Source organism: Homo sapiens, chromosome 22, assembly GCF_000001405.40.
Source record: "Homo sapiens chromosome 22, GRCh38.p14 Primary Assembly".
NCBI classification, from domain to species: Eukaryota; Metazoa; Chordata; class Mammalia; order Primates; family Hominidae; genus Homo; species Homo sapiens.
This window is the reverse complement of record NC_000022.11, coordinates 21,909,483-21,927,341: the sequence shown is the minus strand read 5'-3', so window position 1 is coordinate 21,927,341 and position 17,859 is coordinate 21,909,483. Positions and strand designations below refer to the sequence as shown.

Sequence of the window (17,859 nt, the reverse complement as noted above, 5' to 3'; positions counted from 1 at the left end):
CCTCGCCGTCTGCAGGCGCCTTCACGCGTGTGTGTGGGCACATGTATGTGTGAACATTCGTGCGTACTCTGTGTTCATCCACCTGCCTCTCCCCGTGCCCTTTCTCCTGCCCTCTTCTTGGCTGTCTCCTGCTCTTCCCTCCTTCCTGGTCCTCCTTGCCTTTCCCTTGCCCTGCTCAGACCCCGGAGGTGGCAGATCTTAGACCCAGAGAGAGCCTTGAGGTCCCTGTTCCTGCCCCCTTCATGGCTTGATTCTCCACCTCAGCTGGGACAGGAGCACCCAGCCTACCAGGCACTGGTCCAGTTCCCACACAGGCTCATGGCTGCAGTGCCCAGGAAGGCCGGGACTCCTGCAAACCCATGTCATTCCCACCACAATGCCCTCTGCAGGGGAGCCACATAAAGAGGCCTGGTCCTTGGTGCAGGCATCTGGAGAGGGCTGCCTCCCCCAGGCCTCCCGCAGTGCATGTCCGTCTGCTCTGGGGAGGGAATTGGCTGATATCCCAATCTGTCTAGGGGACACCATCACCTGGGGCATCAGAGTTCTCATGCCCAGCTGGTGCTGTGCCTGGGGACTAGAAGGGCTGGTGCTGCGTGGGGTCAAGAGGTTTACCTGATAAACCGGTAAGGGATGCCCTCTTCCCCCAGTAGACTTGGGAGGTGCCTCACTCCCAGGGTGCCTCCGTCACTCTGTCAGGGATGCTGTTGTGCAGGCTTCAGTCAGCAGGCTCTCATCGGGGCAGCCTCTCCTTTGGGCAGAGGCTGATAGGACCAAAGAGGTTTCTAGAGGACTTGTGGGTGGACCAAGCCTCTGTCCTGTCCCTGGAGGAACCCAGGCCTGGGGTGTTGTGGTCCCCAGCTGAGTGGAGACTGTGCCTGTGCTGAGCTTGGGTAGAGGAGGACAAGAACTAGGCCAGGCGCGGTGGCTCACACCTGTAATCCCAGCACTTTGGGAAGCCGAGGAGGGTGGATCATGAGGTCAGGAGATCGAGACCAGTCTGGCCAACTTTGAGAAACCCTGTCTCCATTAAAAACACAAAAAAATTAGCTGGGCATGGTGGCACGCCCCTGTAGTCACAGCTACTCAGGAGGCTGAGGCAGGAGAATCACTTGAACCCAGGAGGCAGAGGTTGTAGTGAGCCAAGATCGTGCCACTTCACTCCAGCCAGGTGACAGAGCGAGACTCTGTCTCAAAAAAAAAAAAAAAAAAGAACTGGGCGGGCACAGGCTGCCGTCAGGGCCTCGCTCAGGCTTCCCTGCTGTGTGACCACTCACGTCACATGCTCCATCTTGGCCCAGCAGCTTTCAGGGCAGAGACGGTGTCCCCGAGCTAGAGACAGGGAAGCAGAAGGATCTGCTGTCTGTGTCGGGCTCGCAAGCCTCGTGAGTGCCTCCCTGACCCAGAATGCTGCCCAGGGGCGCAGGCACCGCTAGGCGGCCTCAGGTGGTCCGTTCATTTCACCATTCCTGCAACTAAAGGACTTGTGGGTTGTGTATAATTTCTCACTGTTTTTGATGAGCCTCGTTTGGGTGCATCTCTGAGCCTCCTGGCTTTGTTCCAGTGCTGCGGCTTTGAATGCTGCTGTCTTAGAAGCAGCTGTGCCTCTGCTCAGGTAGCAGCAGGGGGCTTCACGCCCCATCCCCCCGGCCCTGCCCCCAACTCTGGCTGTGTTTCTGCAGGATGAGAAGGCGCGCATTGAAGCATTGGGTGGCTTTGTGTCTCACATGGACTGCTGGAGAGTCAACGGGACCCTGGCCGTCTCCAGAGCCATCGGTGAGAGCCAAAGAGGCCGACCCAAGTGGGAGAAGGTCTCTCGGAAGCCCAGGCCTCGAGTGTGGCCCGCGGCTCACCAGGGGTTCAGGGAGGCAGTGTGATGGGCCGAGGGGGATTTGTCATGCACTGGGGTGATACCCTCGTAGTGTGAAGGGAACAGGGCAGATTCAGAGACTGCAGCACCAGTGTCTGAGTGTAAGTTACACTGTATGTTATTATCTCACCTAAAACAGCTCCTACAAATCTCATAGAAACCTGTGGCTCACCACCCTATGGGCTGGAAGTAGAGCTTCCAATATTCCGGAAATGAGGTTTATCCTCCTCCCGCGTTCATGCTGACAATCCTTTTTTCTCTTTTGGGAAAAAAGTGGGTTCGCTGGGCGCGGTGGCTCACGCCTGTAATCCCAGCACTTTGGGAGGCCGAGGTGGGTGGATCACCTGAGGTCGGGAGTTCGAGACCAGCCTGATGAAACCCCATGTCTACTAAAAAAAAAATACAAAAAATTAGCCAGGCATGGTAGTGAGCCCCTGTAATTCCAGCTATTCAGAAGGCTGAGGCAGGAGAATCACTTGAACCCAGAAGGCGGAGGTTGCAGTGAGCTGAGATCGCGCCACTCCACTCCAGCCTGGATAACGAGGAAAACTCTGTCTCAAAAAATAATAATAAAAATAAATAAAAATTTTAAAAAGTAATGGGTCTGGCTGGGCATGCTGGCTCACGCCTGTAATCCCAGCACTTTGGGAGGCCAAGGTGGGCGGATCACCTGAGATCGGGAGTTCGAGACCAGCCTGGCCAACATGGTGAAACCCCTTCTCTACAAAAAATACAAAGTTAGCCAGGTGTGGTGGCACGCGCCTGTAATCTCAGTTACTTGGGAGGCTGAGGGAGGAGAAGTGCTTGAACCCAGAGGCGGAGGTTACAGTAAGCGGAGATCGTGCCACTGCACTCCAGCCTGGGCAACAGAGCCAGACTGTGTCTCAAAAAAAAAAAAAAAAGTAGCTGGGCGCGGTGGCTCACGCCTGTAATCCCAGCACTTTGGGAGGCCAAGGCGGGTGGATCACCTGAGGTCAGGAGTTCGAGACCAGCCTGACCAACATGGTGAAACCCCATCTCTACTAAAAATACAAAAAACATTAGCCGGGCGTGGTGGTGCCTGCCTGTAATCGCAGCTACTTGGGATGCTGAGGCAGCAGGATCACCTGAACCCTGGAGGTGGAGGTTGCGGTGAGCCAAGATTGCACCATTGCACTGCAGCCTGGGCGACAAGAGCGAAACTCCATCTCAAAAAAAAAAAAAAAAGTGGGTCCAGCCTGCATCTCATTGTCTCAGCATGCGGTCAGTGCCGGGTCTCAGGCTGTGGGCACTGTGACCACACCTCCTTCCTGGTACTTAGAAAATCTCTCCCTCCCCAGCTGATTGCCAGGGATTTGGCACCTACCCCTCTGAAACATTCTGTCCTTTTTGGCAGATGTGGCACCTTCTTGACAGCCCATCCTCAGGCTGTGTCTTTCCTTGTGTCTCTGGACACTCCAGGAAGTGAGGCCAGGATGGGACGGCTAGGGCAGAGAAAGAGGGAGCTCGGCCTGGTGTGGTGGCTCATGCCTGTAATCCCAGCACTTTGGGAGGCTGAGGTGGGCAGATCACAAGGTCAAGAGATCGAGACCATCTTGGCCAACATGGTGAAACCCCATCTCTACTAAAATACAAAAAAAAAAAAAAACAATTAGCTGGGCATGGTGGCGCGAGCCTGTAATCCCAGCTACTCGGGAGGCTGAGGCAGGGGAATCGCTTGAACCCAGGAGGCAGAGGTTGCAGTGAGCTGAGATCGCGCCACTGCAGCCTGGCGACAGAGCAAGACTCCATCTCAAAAAAGAAAAAAGAAAAAAAGGGGGAGCTCACAGGCCAAGGTCAGGGGTTTCCGTTCCCAGGCAAGTGGGAAGTACTGGGCAGTTTGCATAAGGGAGCAACAGACCCCAGACCCCATGAGAGCAGGTTGGTCTCTGTCCCTGCAGGATGTGAGGTCTAGGCCTGGGTAGGTGGGGAGGAAGCTGTGGACACCGTGGTCCTCTGACCCGGGCTCTTCTCCGCCTGTCCAGGGGATGTCTTCCAGAAGCCCTACGTGTCTGGGGAGGCCGATGCAGCTTCCCGGGCGCTGACGGGCTCCGAGGACTACCTGCTGCTTGCCTGTGATGGCTTCTTTGACGTCGTACCCCACCAGGAAGTTGTTGGCCTGGTCCAGAGCCACCTGACCAGGCAGCAGGGCAGCGGGCTCCGTGTCGCCGAGGAGCTGGTGGCTGCGGCCCGGGAGCGGGGCTCCCACGACAACATCACGGTCATGGTGGTCTTCCTCAGGGACCCCCAAGAGCTGCTGGAGGGCGGGAACCAGGGAGAAGGGGACCCCCAGGCAGAAGGGAGGAGGCAGGACTTGCCCTCCAGCCTTCCAGAACCTGAGACCCAGGCTCCACCAAGAAGCTAGGTGGTTTCCAGGCCCCTGCCCTCCCCTTCCTCCCATCCTTGTCCTTCTCTCCCTCAGAAGCCTCAGGACCCAACAGGTGGCAGGCAGTGGACAGGGTGCCCGCCCCACAGTGCTTTCCCCAGCACCCCAGAGCCAGTCGGGACACCCCCCGCAGCCCGTCCTGGTGGCTGTGGAACTGCACTGGGTGGCGGGCAGATGGTGGAAGGCAGCTTAGGAGACCTCACCAAAGAGAAGATGGACCGGCTCTTGCTCCCAGCTCCTATTAGGCCCGGGGTGGGACCAGAGGTCATAGGTGCCCAACGGCAGCCAAACCAAAGACACTGGTGTGCATGGGGCAGCATGGTTGTGCACGTGGGACCCTGGGGCGGACCCAGGAGCCAAACTCTTGAAGCACCCCCTGGGTCAGGCCCAGCAGCGGAGTGGCCAGCCCCAGTTTCCCATTGCTCCTCTCTGCGGCCAGGGCCAGGTGGGTTCATATTTACAGATATGCCCAGCCAGTCCTGGTCGGCCACACCAGTGTCCCAAAGAGGAGAGCGCAGCAGAGCCAGGGGTCTGTTCTGTAGCAGCCACCCCCCTGCCCCCACTCCAGGGCAGCCATGATGTGCTTGGGCCCACCAGGGCCTTCCGGGCTGCTCTCTTCCCTGAGCCCGGAACCGGCGACGCACATGTGTCTTTTGTTGGTGTGTTTGTTTTTTTCCAGGGAGGTCTAATTCCGAAGCAGTATTCCAGGTTTTCTCTTTGTTTTATCAGTGCCAAGATGACCTGTTGTGTCATATAATTTAAGCAGAGCTTAGCATTTATTTTATTCTTTAGAAAACTTAAGTATTTACTTTTTTAAAGCTATTTTTCAAGGAACCTTTTTTTGCAGTATTATTGAATTTATTTTCTAAATCAGGATTGAAACAGGAACTTTTCCAGGTGGTGTTAATAAGCCATTCAAGTGCCTTACACAGCTTTGAAGAAACTAGGACTGCAGTGGGCTCGGATAGGCCCATTGAGGTTTTTAGAAAAGCAGGATTTGTTTTGTTAGGGAGGCATGATTTTGGTGAGATCTTTCTGGAAGAGTTTTCCGCCTCTTTGTGATGCTGAACACCCCCAAGGTTCTCCCCTCCCCCCGCTGCCCAGGTGACTGGCAGGAGCTGCGACTGCCACGTAGTGGTGCCTGGGCCCGACAGCGGGGCTCTGGGCATCCCGGGTGACCTTGGCCCATCTGCCTGCATTCCCACCCCCTTGGGCCTGGCTGGATCCCAGGCAGAGGGACCTTGCTGCTGTGTGATTGGAACATTCCCAAATATCTTGTGAATTTGTAATCAAATTGGTCTCATTGGGAAAGACTCTTAATTAAGAGGCTCAGGCAAGCACAGAGGCAGCCCGTGGGTCTCTGTCTCAGTCTGGAGGCAGCAGGGATGCTGCTGGGAGTCCATGGCACAGGCCACAGCCCCTCACCTTGCCGCGGTGGCTGGCAGCACGCCTGCCTTGCTCTGCCCCATGCCCTGAACAGGCATGAGAGCTCCACGTCCCCTAGTGCACCCTGAGAGGGGGCTCACAAGTGACCGATCCTGGGTGCCTCAGGGAGCTCACTGAGGGCGTGCAAAGTTGAAAGTGGCAAGGCTGGGGGAGGGTGTCGGGTAGAGGGAAGAGGGCAGGGGGCTAGGGGAGGACTCAGAGGCCATCTGCAGGGCCAAGCCACAGGAAGGGCTGAGCTGGAGGTGGGCAGGGCTGCTCCAGGCAGGTCAGAGCAGTGCAGGGGGAGGAGAGGAGAAAGGGAGGAAGCTGGGCTGTGTGGTCCCCATGAAGGCATTCAGAGTCCACCTGCAGACAGCGAGAGCCCCAGGAAGGTTTGCACAGCTGTGCCCCAAGCACCTTGGCCTCCTCTCAGCTCGCCGAGGAGGCACGCTAGAGCCGCCTTCCCGGTGGGAGCCCTCTGTCCCACAGGGAGCGGGGAGCCAGCTTTGCTGGGGCCCTACCTGCATGCCCAGCCTTACCCCTCATTCTCACAGCACAGATGAGGTTGAGACCATGCAGTCAATGCATTGCTTAAGGTCTCTTATTTACAAAAAAAAACCTTAAACATAGTCGCTGTCATTCAGACATTCAGAGAATGGTTGGCCACAAACAATGACCAAGTATTGCTTGGCTTAACTTGAAGGCCTGCTGTCTCCTTCTGGGGGTCAGGGACGCAGCTCCACCCTCACCACTAGCCCACCCTGCCCGTGGGCATAACCTTGACGAAGAGAGAGAATGATTGGCATCTGCTTTTCTCTTTTCTTTGCTAATAATTCTGTTCCTGGCTGCCGAGAGTGAAGTTTCACCATGTGGAGGTTTGGCTCCTATCACCTGGTGGTCTGATTCATACCCTAGCCTGAGGCTCCACTGGAAGATCTCGCAGCCTCAGTGTATGGGAAACCCTTTCCCCAGGCTTGTCCCAGCACTGCCGCTCCCCACCCCTGAGCCAGGACCCCAGAGGATGGCCATGCCCCGTGCCTGGCAGAGGTCTGGTGCCAGCACTGGGAGCTGCTCCGCCCTTGCCTTGGGGCCGAGGGAGCCCTCGTCCACCCCTGCACAGCAGCTGGGCACAGAGGAGCGCTCTTCCATCTTGACCAGGACTGCACCAAGAAGCACCAGGTGTCTTCAGCCTCCAACCTCCGGGGCGACCTTCTCTTCCAGCCACAGTCCCATGAGGGCCCCTAGCCAGGGACACTGGTCTGTAAATTGTAATCCTTTCTCCAGCCCAGCTCTCCACTTGTTCCTTGTGTGAGCTGAGCAGGCAGTGCACCTCTGAGTGTCCCTTTTGTAAGGCCCAGGGGTTGCACTGAGTCTGCAGAGGCCGCGACCTCCTAGAACGCTGTGGGTGCAGGTGAGCCGGCGTGTCCTGGGGAGATGCTGCCAGCACACAGGGGCCCTCCTGCTGCCAGCAGGTTGGGGTGGTTAAGTCTTATTAGTGTCTATTCTTAAAATTAAGTGGGCTGGAGAAGAATGGAGCTCCACATGCCAGCACCGTATATGGAATACAAAAGCTGGGGAAGCAGGGCCTGCCTTACAGGTGTGGCTGACTCTGAGCCCAGGCCTGCAGGGGTGGAGGGCAGTCCCTCAGAATCCCAGAGGCAGTCCCAGCCTCAGAACCCAGGATAGGAAATGGGTGTGTTTAGTGGGGAAAGGGACGGGGTGCAGACGGCAGGGCCAGTATGGGGCCCCCTCCCTCTCCTCTCCTCTCCTATGGTGAGCCCAGCGTGGGCACCGGGCCGTCTCAGCCGTGTTCCCAGGGCTGGGAGGACAGCTCTGGCCCTTCTTAGGCCTAGCCTCGTCCCAAGCTAAATGTAAGCCAGTTGGGCTGTGTTAAAGGAAGCAGTGTTTTTGGTTCGATTCTGCCTCTGTAGCTCAAGGGGGGCAGCCCCCAGAGTCCTGTGCATTCTGCCAAGGCTCCATAGCTTTGCCAAATGCACGGAGCTCTGCCATTCCGGTGCAGTGCAGGCCTTGCGAAGGGTTTATCTGCGTTCGTCTCGGTGGGCTTCTCCTGCATGGGAGTTGTGTTCCTGTGCAAGGGGGAGCTTTGCTCCAGGACAGGATGACTGTCTTCCCTATTCTTAGGGACAAGTCCCAAGATGCCAGAAAGGCAGTCTCCCAAGGACCCACCATGCAGAAGTGTCAATAAACCACAAGTTCTGAACTCTGTCGCCCGAGTCCTGCCTTCTTCCTGACTTCTGAGCATCTTGTCCCCTTTGATGTCCAGATGTGTTTGGAAGCTGCTTTAATATTGGGGACCATCTGCAAATCTTGCGAAGCGAGCAGACAAATTCTGGAGAGAGCCCTGGTGGCCTACACCCTCCTGGTCTAGCCAGCAACCTGATTTTCCTCCCTGAGGGGCTCTGAGCCCACCCCCACCAGCAGCAGGAAGGTGACAGGAAAGGGATTAAGCCCCTGGGACCTCACATGACATTGGGGAGCCACAGGAGCATTGAGGACCCCTCATTTTATCCAGGAGCCTGATGTGCCCCAGGAGGTTCCATCCTGAGGATGGAGACCCTCTGACATGACGCTCTTGAGGCCCACCATTTATACCCTCCTGGCACCTCCTGAGGCCAGGTGTGGTGGCGCACACCTGTAATCCCAGCACTTTGGGAGGCTGAGGTGGGAGGATCTCTTGCGCTCAGGAGTTTGAGACCAGCCTGGGCAACATAGGGAGACCCCCATCTCTACAGATAATCAAAAAATTAGCCCCAGTATGATGGCACAAGCCTGTAGTCCCAGCTACTTAGGAGGCTGAGGCAGGAGGATCGCTTAAGTTTGAGGAGCTTGAGGCTGCAGTGAGCTAGGATTGCGCCACTGCACTCCATCCTGGGTGACAGAGCAAGACCTTGTCTCAAAAAAAGAACAAAGCACTGAGCCTTTCTTCTGCCCCCTGCTCCCGCCACCCCGCTCCGCCATCCTCGAAGCCTGCATGGCACTTGTCCCACATGGGAGCTCGGCTGCCGCCCAGAAGTGAATCCACTGCAGGTTCACTGCTGGTGCTCCCTGAGGGGCAGGGTTATAGGGGGTTTTTTCCTCCCCCCTTTAGGTTTTCTTCTAAATCCTAATTTTTTTTAGTACGGTGAACATGCTTTAAAAATGCTTTTATGTAATCTGTCATGGGAATTTTAAGGGAAAAAAAAGATAAAAATGCCTTAACAGAAGACCTGGAGAGATCCACCAGCAGCAGGGGTGGGCAGTGCTAAGCCCTGGGGTCCTGGTAGAGAACTAGGAATGGCAGTGGTGGCTGCACTAGGTGGGGGAGCGAGGCTGAGGGGGTGGGGAGCAGCGCTTCGGTGGTGGGCAAGCCTCACTGTTCCTGGTGGAAGGGACTGGCCCCTGATGGCTGCTTGGACAGATATCAGAAACTCACCTCAGGACCACCACACCTGATGGATTTTAGGGAACCCCCCACAAGGCCCGCCCACCTGCCTCCCTTTGCTCTAGACCTGTGGCCCCCAACCACAACCTCCAGTCCAGACCTCTGTAGCCTCACCCACCCAAGGACGGCCAGCAGCAAAATGCAGGGCCTTGGCCCGAGCGTTGCTGCTGGTCGCTTAGCAGGCTGGAGGGCTGGTTCCCCCTGAAGCCCCAGGATAGCACGCACAGGCCCAGTCCCATGTGGCTGCAGCTCCTAGCACACATGAAACTGCTCTTGGAGACGGCTTCAGAGCCTTCTCAGTGCCCTCAGGGGGTCAGTATTGAAGCAGCCAGTCGTGGGACTCTGTCGACCAGTCCTTCAGCGCATGTTGGCCAAGTGTTTGCCACGCTGCTGCAGGTGCTGGGGCAAGGGATGAGCCAGCTACCAATTCCCCACCTAAGACAAAGAGGATTCGGCTTATCACACAGGGGTCAAGTGCCCCTAGGCCGCAAAGCTGCTAAGGGGTCCAAGCCTTGGAAAGTCACCCTTCTCAGAGTCCCCAATTCTTCACTGCCTTTTGATCTTTGGTTCCTTTCTCAATCAAGAGAAAGCAAGGCAGCAGGGGCCGGGAAACTCGCCCTTGTGCTCCTGGCTGAGCTCAGGCTTCAAGGGCACACAAACATCAGAAATGCCTCCCCGCAGACACTGCCCAGCCACGGCCAAAAGTGCTGCCCTGAACTTCTCCGTAGAATGTGGGGGAGGCCCTCAGGCTTGTGGGCGCATGGGAGCAGCTGTCCTAGGGCTGCCTGAGCCCGGTGCCTTCCCCACTCCCACTTTGCCTGCAGGCCTCCTCTCTCCTGTCTGTAGCCTTGTCTGTGCATTTTCTCCTGGTCCTTCCCAAGCCACCTGAGAGAGCTCTCAGTCCCCTCCCCCGGCTCCCGGCAGTGCCTGCTGCCCAGGGCTGCAGCCTCCAACTCTCCAGGACCAGCGCCAGAAAAGCAGCTTTTTTTTTTTTTTTGAGAGAAGTCTTGTTCTGTCTCCAGGCTGGAGTGCAGTGGTGCGATCTTGGCTCACTACAACCTCCACCTCCTGGGTTCAAGCGATTCCCCTGCCTTAGCCTTCTGAGTAGCTGGGACTACGGGTGCACACCACCACGCCCAGCTAATTTTTGTGTAGAGATAGGGTTTCACCATGTTGGCCAGGATGGTCTTGATTTCTTGACCTTGTGATCCACCCGCCTCAGCCTCCCAAAGTACTGGGATTACAGGCGTGAGCAACCGCGCCTAGCCAAAAGACAGCTTTATCTGTGTCCACTGTGTCACAGAGGGGGCATCCTTAGGGAAGCAGGGGAACTAGCCCCGGATGCAAGAGCTGGGACCAGGCCCTGGGCCGCCCACCACACCTACTCAAGCATCCATGTCCTCCTCCCCACACCCCTGCTCCTCTGAAGCTCCCAGCAGGATTTCCTTCCTAAGTATCTGCTGTCTTGACTGTTCTCTGGTGAACTGGCTTATGTGTCTGAAACTCATCTTCACAGCCAGATAGTGGCTCAGTGCTCTCTGTCTGCCCCTCACTTTCACAGAGCTGATCCCGGAGAGCACCCTCTCTCAGGACCTCTGGGTGGGGGGGGGGGAGGCCCAAGGGACTGAGGGTGCACAGGCAGGCAGACGGGCTGGAGCTGCCTGGCACCTACAGGGGGTTCACCCATGGGAGCAGGCCACAGTGTGGCAAGTGGGGGTGGGGATGGAGGTGAAAGGGGTGTGAGCCAACCCCTCAGTCAGGAGGGGGCCAAACCTGGAGCTAAGTCTAGCACAGACAGCTGAGGCCAGAGTCTGCCTGGGGAAGGGGTGGGGAGCTGGGGGGTTAGGACTGGGCCTCACACCCACCAAATGGAGGCTTCAGCTGGTGGAAGGGAGCCCAAAACCAAGGTCCCCCAGGCAAGAGGTGACGTGAGGCAGAGCCAGGGAAACAGAGGCAAGAATCCTGGCTGGGAGGGCTGATGACTGGCCTGCCCCAGATTTCCCTCAGAAGGTCCCTGGATCCCAGCTGCGTTGTGGTCCTGCAGATCCCTCCTGTTCTCACCTGGTCTTGAGAACAGGTGGCTGGTCTTGGGTGGAGCCAGGCTCTGAACCAGTTGAGGACAGGACCTCAGCTGGGGGGCTCCATACACAAAGCTGTCTTGGATCTGCTTCCTGGGACTTGGACATCGGTGTTCTGGACATCTGGGCCTCCCACAGCCAAGAAGTGGGCACAAGCCCTCGAGAGCCAGCCCTGAGGATTTGTCCTACCCCCATAGAGGGTCCTGGCCAGATGTGTTAGCTCCAGGAGCAGCACAGGGAGCCATGGTGGCACCAAAGCCCCATCACAGGCAGGCCTCTCCTTGGACCACTGTCCTAGGCAGTCACTGTGGCCATAGTCAGGGGACCTCTTCCTCACTCACTGCCCAGCCCCAGGAGGCTCAAAGGCCTGCCTCTGGGGCCCACTCCCTCCCTGCCATCTCAATGCCTGATCCCAACAATGTAGCAGACTTTTCTGAACAGCTTATCATGGTCTGTTTTCTTTCAGTAAGTGAAAGATTTTTGCACCAAGAAAAGTTTGTAGGCAGACATTTAGAAAAAAATAGTGGAAGTTTCTTACACCGTATGTGTCTATAAGGACACAGATATCAAGCCCTGACAATCCTATATGAGCAGTTCATCAGGTGCTGTTTTATTTCAGTAAATGGAAGACAAAAATCTTCTTCCTTTTTTTTTTCTTTTTTTTTTTTTTTGAGAGAGAGAGTCTCGCTCTGTCACCCAGGCTGGAGTGCAGTGGCGCGGTCTCAGCTCACTGCAACCTCTGCCTCCGAGGTTCAAGCGATTCTCTCGCCTCAGCCTCCCAAGTAGCTGGGACTACAGGCGTGGAGCACCATGCCTGGCTAATTTTTTGTACTTTAGTAGAGATGGGGTTTCACCATGTTGCTTAAGCTGGTCTCAAACTCACTCCTGAGCTCAGGCAGTCTGCCCACCTCGGCCTCCAAACGTGCTGGGATTACAGGCGTGAGCCACCACGCCTGGCTTTCTTCCATTTTTAAAACACAAAGCCTTTGACATCAACACCTTGAGAATTGATGTCCAGATCAGCTCCAAAGCCTAACAGTGAAACAGACCCACCAGCCAACATCAAAACAACTTTGCCCATAATAAGAAGATCCTTCTAGACTTCACCCTCGGCCGCCCCCACCACTCACCCTCTAACCAGTATCCTAAATGTTAGAATCATCCTCATAGATTTACCACTATGTCTATATCCCTACACACTGCTGTATAGTTTTGCTTATCTTTTAACTTTCTGAAAATGACATTTTACTGTCTGCTTTCTTATACTTCATGTTTGTGTCACTTAGCATATGTTTCTCGAATTCATCCATGCTGTGTGGGTTTCTGGATCTTTGCAGAAACAGAGCTGCCATAAACATTCTTGTCGGGTCTCCTGGTTTCCATGCACAGGAGTTTCTCTAGGGTATACACCAAGAAGTGAAAATGCTGGGCAGAGCAGGCTATGCAATTTGTAAATTAAAATTAAATTAATTGCATTAAAATTTAATTAAATTTTACATTTTTATTCTAATTTTTCCTTTTTTTTGTTGTTCGTTTTTTTGTTTGTTTGTTTTTTCGAGATGGTGTCTCACTCTGTCTCCTAGGCTGGAGTGCAATGGCACGTTCTCAGTTTACTGCAACCTCTGCCTCCTGGATTCAAGAGATCCTCTTGCCTCAGCCTCCCAAGTAGCTGGGATTACAGGCGCCTGCCACCATGCCCCACTAATTTTTGTGTTTTTAGTAGAGACGGCATTTTACCATGTTGGCCAGGCTGGTCTCAAACTCCTGACCTCAAGTGATCCATCTGCCTCAGCCTCCCAAAGTGCTGGGATTATAGGCATGAGCCACTGCACCTGGTCTTTTGTTTGTTTTTTGTTTTACAAGTGGGATCTCACTCTCTTGCCCAGGTTGGAGTCCAGTTGGCTCGCTGGAGCCTCGACCTCCTGGGTTCAATCTGGCCTCCCACCTAAGCCACCCAAGTAACTGGGACTACAGGTGCACACCACTATGCATGGCTAATTTTTTTACTTTTTTGTAGAGATGAGGTTTCACCATGTTGCCCAAGGTAGTCTTGAACTCCTGGCCTCAAGTGATCCGCCTGCCTCAGCCTCCCAAAGTGTTGGGATTACAGGCATGAGAGCCACTGCACCTGACCTAAACATTTTTTAAATTTATTTATTTATTTATTTTGAGACATAGTCTTGCTGTCTCACCCAGGCTAGAGTGCAATGGCGCCATCTCAGCTACGTCTCCCAGGTTCAAGCGATTCTCCTGCTTCAGCCTCCCGAGTAGCTGGGATTACAGGCGCCCGCCACCACACCCTGATAATTTTTTGTATTTTTAGTAGAGACGGGGTTTCACTATGTTGGCCAGGCTGGTCTTGAACTCCTGACCTCATGATCTGCCTGCCCAGGCCTCCCAAAGTGCTGGGATTGCAGGCATGAGCCACCACAATTGGCCCAATGTTTAGGGCTGGGCGCAGTGGCTCACGCCTGTAATCCCAGCACTTTGGGAGGCCGAGGTGGGCAGATCACGAGGTCAGGAGTTTGCGACTAGCCTGGCCAACATGGCAAGACCCCGTCTCTACTAAAAATGCAAAAACTAGCCAGGCGAGGTAGTGGGCACGTGCCTGTAATCCCAGCTACTCGGGAGGCTGAGGCAGGAGAATTGCTTGAACCCAGGAGATGGAGGCTGCAGTGAGCCAAGATCACGCCACTGCACTCCAGCCTGGGTGACAGAATGAGACTCTGTCTCAAATAAAATAAAATAAAACAAAATAGTTAAAATTAATTTACAAATTAAAATATGAGCTCATCTGGGCACAATGGCTCATGCCTGTAATCCAAGCACTTTGGGAGGCCAAGGCGGGTAGATCACCGGGTCAGGAGTTCAAGACCAGCCTGGCCAAGATGATGAACCCATCTCTACTAAAAATACAAAAAAAAATAGCTGGGCGTGGTGGCAGGCACCTGTAATTCCAGCTACTCCGGAGGCTGAGGCAGAGAATTGCTTGAACCCAGGAGGCGGAGATTGCAGGGAGCCAAGATCGTGCCATTGCACTCCATCCTGGGCAACAGAGCAAGACTCCATCTCAAAACACACACACACACACACACACACACACACACTATATATATATATGGGCTATATATATATATATATATGAGCTATATATATATGAGCAATATATATATATGAGCTATATATATATATATGAGCAATATATATATATGAGCTCACTGGGCATGATGGCTCACATCTATAATCCTAGCACTTTGGGAGGCCGAGGAAGGCGGATTGCCTGAGCTGAGGAGTTCAAAACCAGCCTGGGCAACACGGTGAAACCCCGTCTCTTCTAAAATACAAAAAATTAGCCGGGCGTGGCAGCGTGCGCCTGTAGTCCCAGCTACATAGGAGGCTGAGGCAGGAGAGTTGCTTGAACCCAGGAGGCAGAGGTTGCAGTGAGCCGAGATCACGCCACTGCACTCCAGCCTGGGCGACAGAGCAAGACTCCGTCTCCAAAAAAAAAAAAAAAAAAAAAAGAGTTCCTTGATAAAATATCAGGGATTTCTGTACAGCAGCAGCATCACATTAAACCAGGTGCAGGCCCCATGGGACCACACAGGTGTGCAGCCACAAGGCCAGTCTGCACTGAGTCTTCATGCCCACCTGTCTAGGCCATGCATCGGCTTGTACCCAATGTCAGTGCTCACAGCATTTCTGTTGTTTCTTGTCCTCACCACCTCGTTTCTCATCCTCACCACCACTTGGGACCATCCTACTTGTAAAATTTTTGTCAATGTAATGAATGTAAAATAGCATCGTGTTGTGATTTCAATTTGCACTTCCTTGGTTACCCAAGAGGGTGAGCAGTTGGTGAGTGTGTTGACTGTGGTGGCTTCTTCTTTTCCTTTTTAAGTAATGATGAGGTCTTATTTGTTACTCAGGCTGGCCTCAAACTCCTGAGCTCAAGCAGTCCTCTCACCTTGGACTCCAAAGTGCTGGGATTACAGGCGTGAGCCACCACATCCAGCTGACTTTTTTTTTTTTTTCTTCCTTGAGACGGAATCTTGCTCTGTTGCCCAGGCTGGAGTGCAGTGGTGAGATCTTGGCTCACTGCAACCTCTGCCTCCCGAGATGAAGTGATTCTCCTGCCTCGGCCTCCCAAGTAGCTGGGATTGCAGGTGCCTACCACCTCGCCTGGCTAGTTTTTGTATTTTTAATAGAGACGGGGTTTCACCATGTTGGCCAGGCTGGTCTTAAACTCCTGAACTCAAGTGATCTTCCTGTATTGGCCTCCCAAAGTGCTGGGATTACAGGCGTGAGCCGCCACACCTGGCCTTTTTAAAAATTTTTATATTTTTATTATTTTTAAATAGAGATGGGTTTTCACCCTGTTGTCTAGACTGGTCTTAAATCCCTGGACTCAAGCAAACCACCTGCCTCAGCCTGACTTTTTTTTCTTTTTTTGAGATGGAGTCTCGCTCTGTCACCCAGGCTGGAGTGCGGTGGCGCCGTCTTGGCTCACTGCAACCCCTGCCTCCCGGGTTCATGCCATTCTCCTGCCTCAGCCTCCCAAGTAGCTAGGATTATAGGCACATGCCACCACGCCCGGCTAATTTTTTGTATTTTTAGTAGAGACAGGGTTTCACTGTGTTAGCCAGGGTGGTCTTGATCTCCTGACCTGGTGATCCGCTCGCCTCAGCCTCCCGAAGTGCTGGGATTACAGGTGTGAGCCATCATGCCTGGCCCTGACTTATCTTTTAAGACCAGAGGACAGAGTTGTCTCTAGGTCTGTTCTTGCCCCTAAAAAACCACATGGGTATGGGTGGGTCACCTTCCTCCTGGGGCCTCATTTTTCTCATCTGAACAACAGAGATATGCCGTTTTCTTTCTTTCTCTTTCTCTCTCTATTTCCTTCTTCATCTTTTTATGAGACAGAGTCTCAAACTTAATCTTAAATTATCTGTCACCCAGGCTGGAGTGCAGTGGTTCGATCATGGTTCACTGCAGCCTCGACCTTCTGGGCTTAGGTGATCCTCCCACCTCAACCTCCCAGGTAGCTGAGAGTACAGGCACACATCACCACACCCAGCTAATTTTTTGTATTTTTTTAATAGATACTTTTAAAAAATATATCTTTTTTAAAAAAAAATAGATCTATTAAAAAAATACTTTTTTTTAAATAAATATTTTTTGCCATGTTGCCCAGGCTGGTCTCGAATTCCTGATGAAATCGCCTTTACAAAATTATGACTGAGACAGTGAGATAGATCTAACTTAATCGACTCCACCTTGCTTCTAACCTCCAAGCTGTCCTTGATCATTCCTGGGTGTAGGCTGAACTAACTTTGGGAGAAACTTAGTTTATGGTTTATAATTTAAAAAAAGATGGTAAAGACAGTAACAGCCCTTTCCCAAAGCAGACCTCCTTCTTGCCTGGGGACTAGATTGCCTTTGTAGGACTCACATTAGCCACAGATTAGAAATTATGGTTTAGGAGTCATGCAGCTGAGGTTGCAAGATTCTGACTCTCCCTAAACTGCTCCCAAAATCAGTGCTTGAGATATTTTGCAGACCGTGCATTTGATGAATTAGCTAGTACCACCCAGATCAATAAACTGGCTCATCTGATCTTGGGGACCCCACCCAGGAACTGACTCAGTGCAAGACAGCTTCAACTCCCTATGATTTCATCTCTGACCAATCAGCGCTCCGGGCTCACTGGCTTCCACCCACCCACCAAGTTATCCTTAAAAACTCTGCTCCCCGAATGCTCAGGGAGGCTGATTTGAGTTATAATAAAACTCCAGTCTCCTGCACAGCCAGCCCTGCATGAATTACCCTTTCTCTATTGCAATTCCCCTGTCTTGATGAATCGGCTCTGTCTAGGCAGTGGGCAAGGTGAACCCCTTGGACAGTTACCCAAGGCGATCCTCCTGCCTTGGCCTTGTTTTTTTTATTTCTTTATGTACCTGTTTACCATTGGATTATAACCTCTTCAGGTCAGGGGCCATGTTCTCATCATCTTTGGTATCTTTAGCACAGGGCTGGGTCCCAGAGATGATGTCTACATGACTCTGTTGTGTCTATTGAATGAAGGATGTAATTCACCAAGTTGATCTGTCAGCATCAACAAAGGCAGGATGGGGAGGAAGCTCCCATGTGGAAGGCAGGGCAGGCAGAGGGGTAGAAAGGAAAGACCTGGCTCAAAGCTCAGCACTGCCAACTTTGGCAACCTTGGGCAAGGGACCTTCCCCTCATCTGCAGGTGGGGATGCTGACATCGAATAGATGCAGACGTGGTGGCTGTTCTTTTGACTTGTCGATGAAAAGAGTTGAACTCTGCAGAATATTTGAAGAGATTTATTGTGAGCCAAATATTAGTGAACTTGGCCCGTGACACAGCCCTCAGGAGGTTCTGAGAACATGCGCCCAAGGTGTCGGGGCGCAGCTTGGTCTTATCTATTTTAGAGAGGCATGAGACATCAATCAAATACATTTAAGAAATACATTGGTTTGGTCCAGAAAGGTGGGACAACTCAAAGGTGGGGGGGCACTTCCAGGCAATAGGTGAATTAAAAAAATTTCTGGTTGACAATTGGTTGAGTTTGTCTAAAAACCTGGGATTCATAGAAAGGGAAGGTTCTGGTTAAGATAAAGAT

At 53.3% G+C, this 17,859-nt stretch overlaps 1 protein-coding gene across 2 annotated transcripts in view, besides 3 other annotated features; it reads left to right on the top strand.

The window, feature by feature from the left end:
* PPM1F (protein phosphatase, Mg2+/Mn2+ dependent 1F) overlaps positions 1-7,917 on the top strand; it is a 33,424-nt gene extending 25,507 nt beyond the window's left edge. For both annotated transcript variants that reach the window (NM_001410836.1, NM_014634.4), the window contains 2 exons: positions 1,680-1,773; positions 3,871-7,917. In NM_001410836.1, the coding sequence (NP_001397765.1) occupies positions 1,680-1,773; positions 3,871-4,250 (474 nt within the window). In that variant the 3' untranslated portion in view covers positions 4,251-7,917. The remainder of the gene's footprint in view (positions 1-1,679; positions 1,774-3,870) is intronic.
* Positions 5,460-6,118: an enhancer, noted in NCBI's record as "H3K27ac-H3K4me1 hESC enhancer chr22:22275597-22276255 (GRCh37/hg19 assembly coordinates)". NCBI's record gives its function as "activates a minimal SCP1, AML or CMV promoter by ChIP-STARR-seq in primed H9 embryonic stem cells {active_cell/tissue: H9 hESC(primed)}" and the evidence as "EXISTENCE:reporter gene assay evidence [ECO:0000049][PMID:30033119]".
* Positions 6,780-7,439: an enhancer, noted in NCBI's record as "H3K27ac-H3K4me1 hESC enhancer chr22:22274276-22274935 (GRCh37/hg19 assembly coordinates)". NCBI's record gives its function as "activates a minimal SCP1, AML or CMV promoter by ChIP-STARR-seq in primed H9 embryonic stem cells {active_cell/tissue: H9 hESC(primed)}" and the evidence as "EXISTENCE:reporter gene assay evidence [ECO:0000049][PMID:30033119]".
* Positions 9,615-10,425: an enhancer, noted in NCBI's record as "H3K27ac-H3K4me1 hESC enhancer chr22:22271290-22272100 (GRCh37/hg19 assembly coordinates)". NCBI's record gives its function as "activates a minimal SCP1, AML or CMV promoter by ChIP-STARR-seq in primed H9 embryonic stem cells {active_cell/tissue: H9 hESC(primed)}" and the evidence as "EXISTENCE:reporter gene assay evidence [ECO:0000049][PMID:30033119]".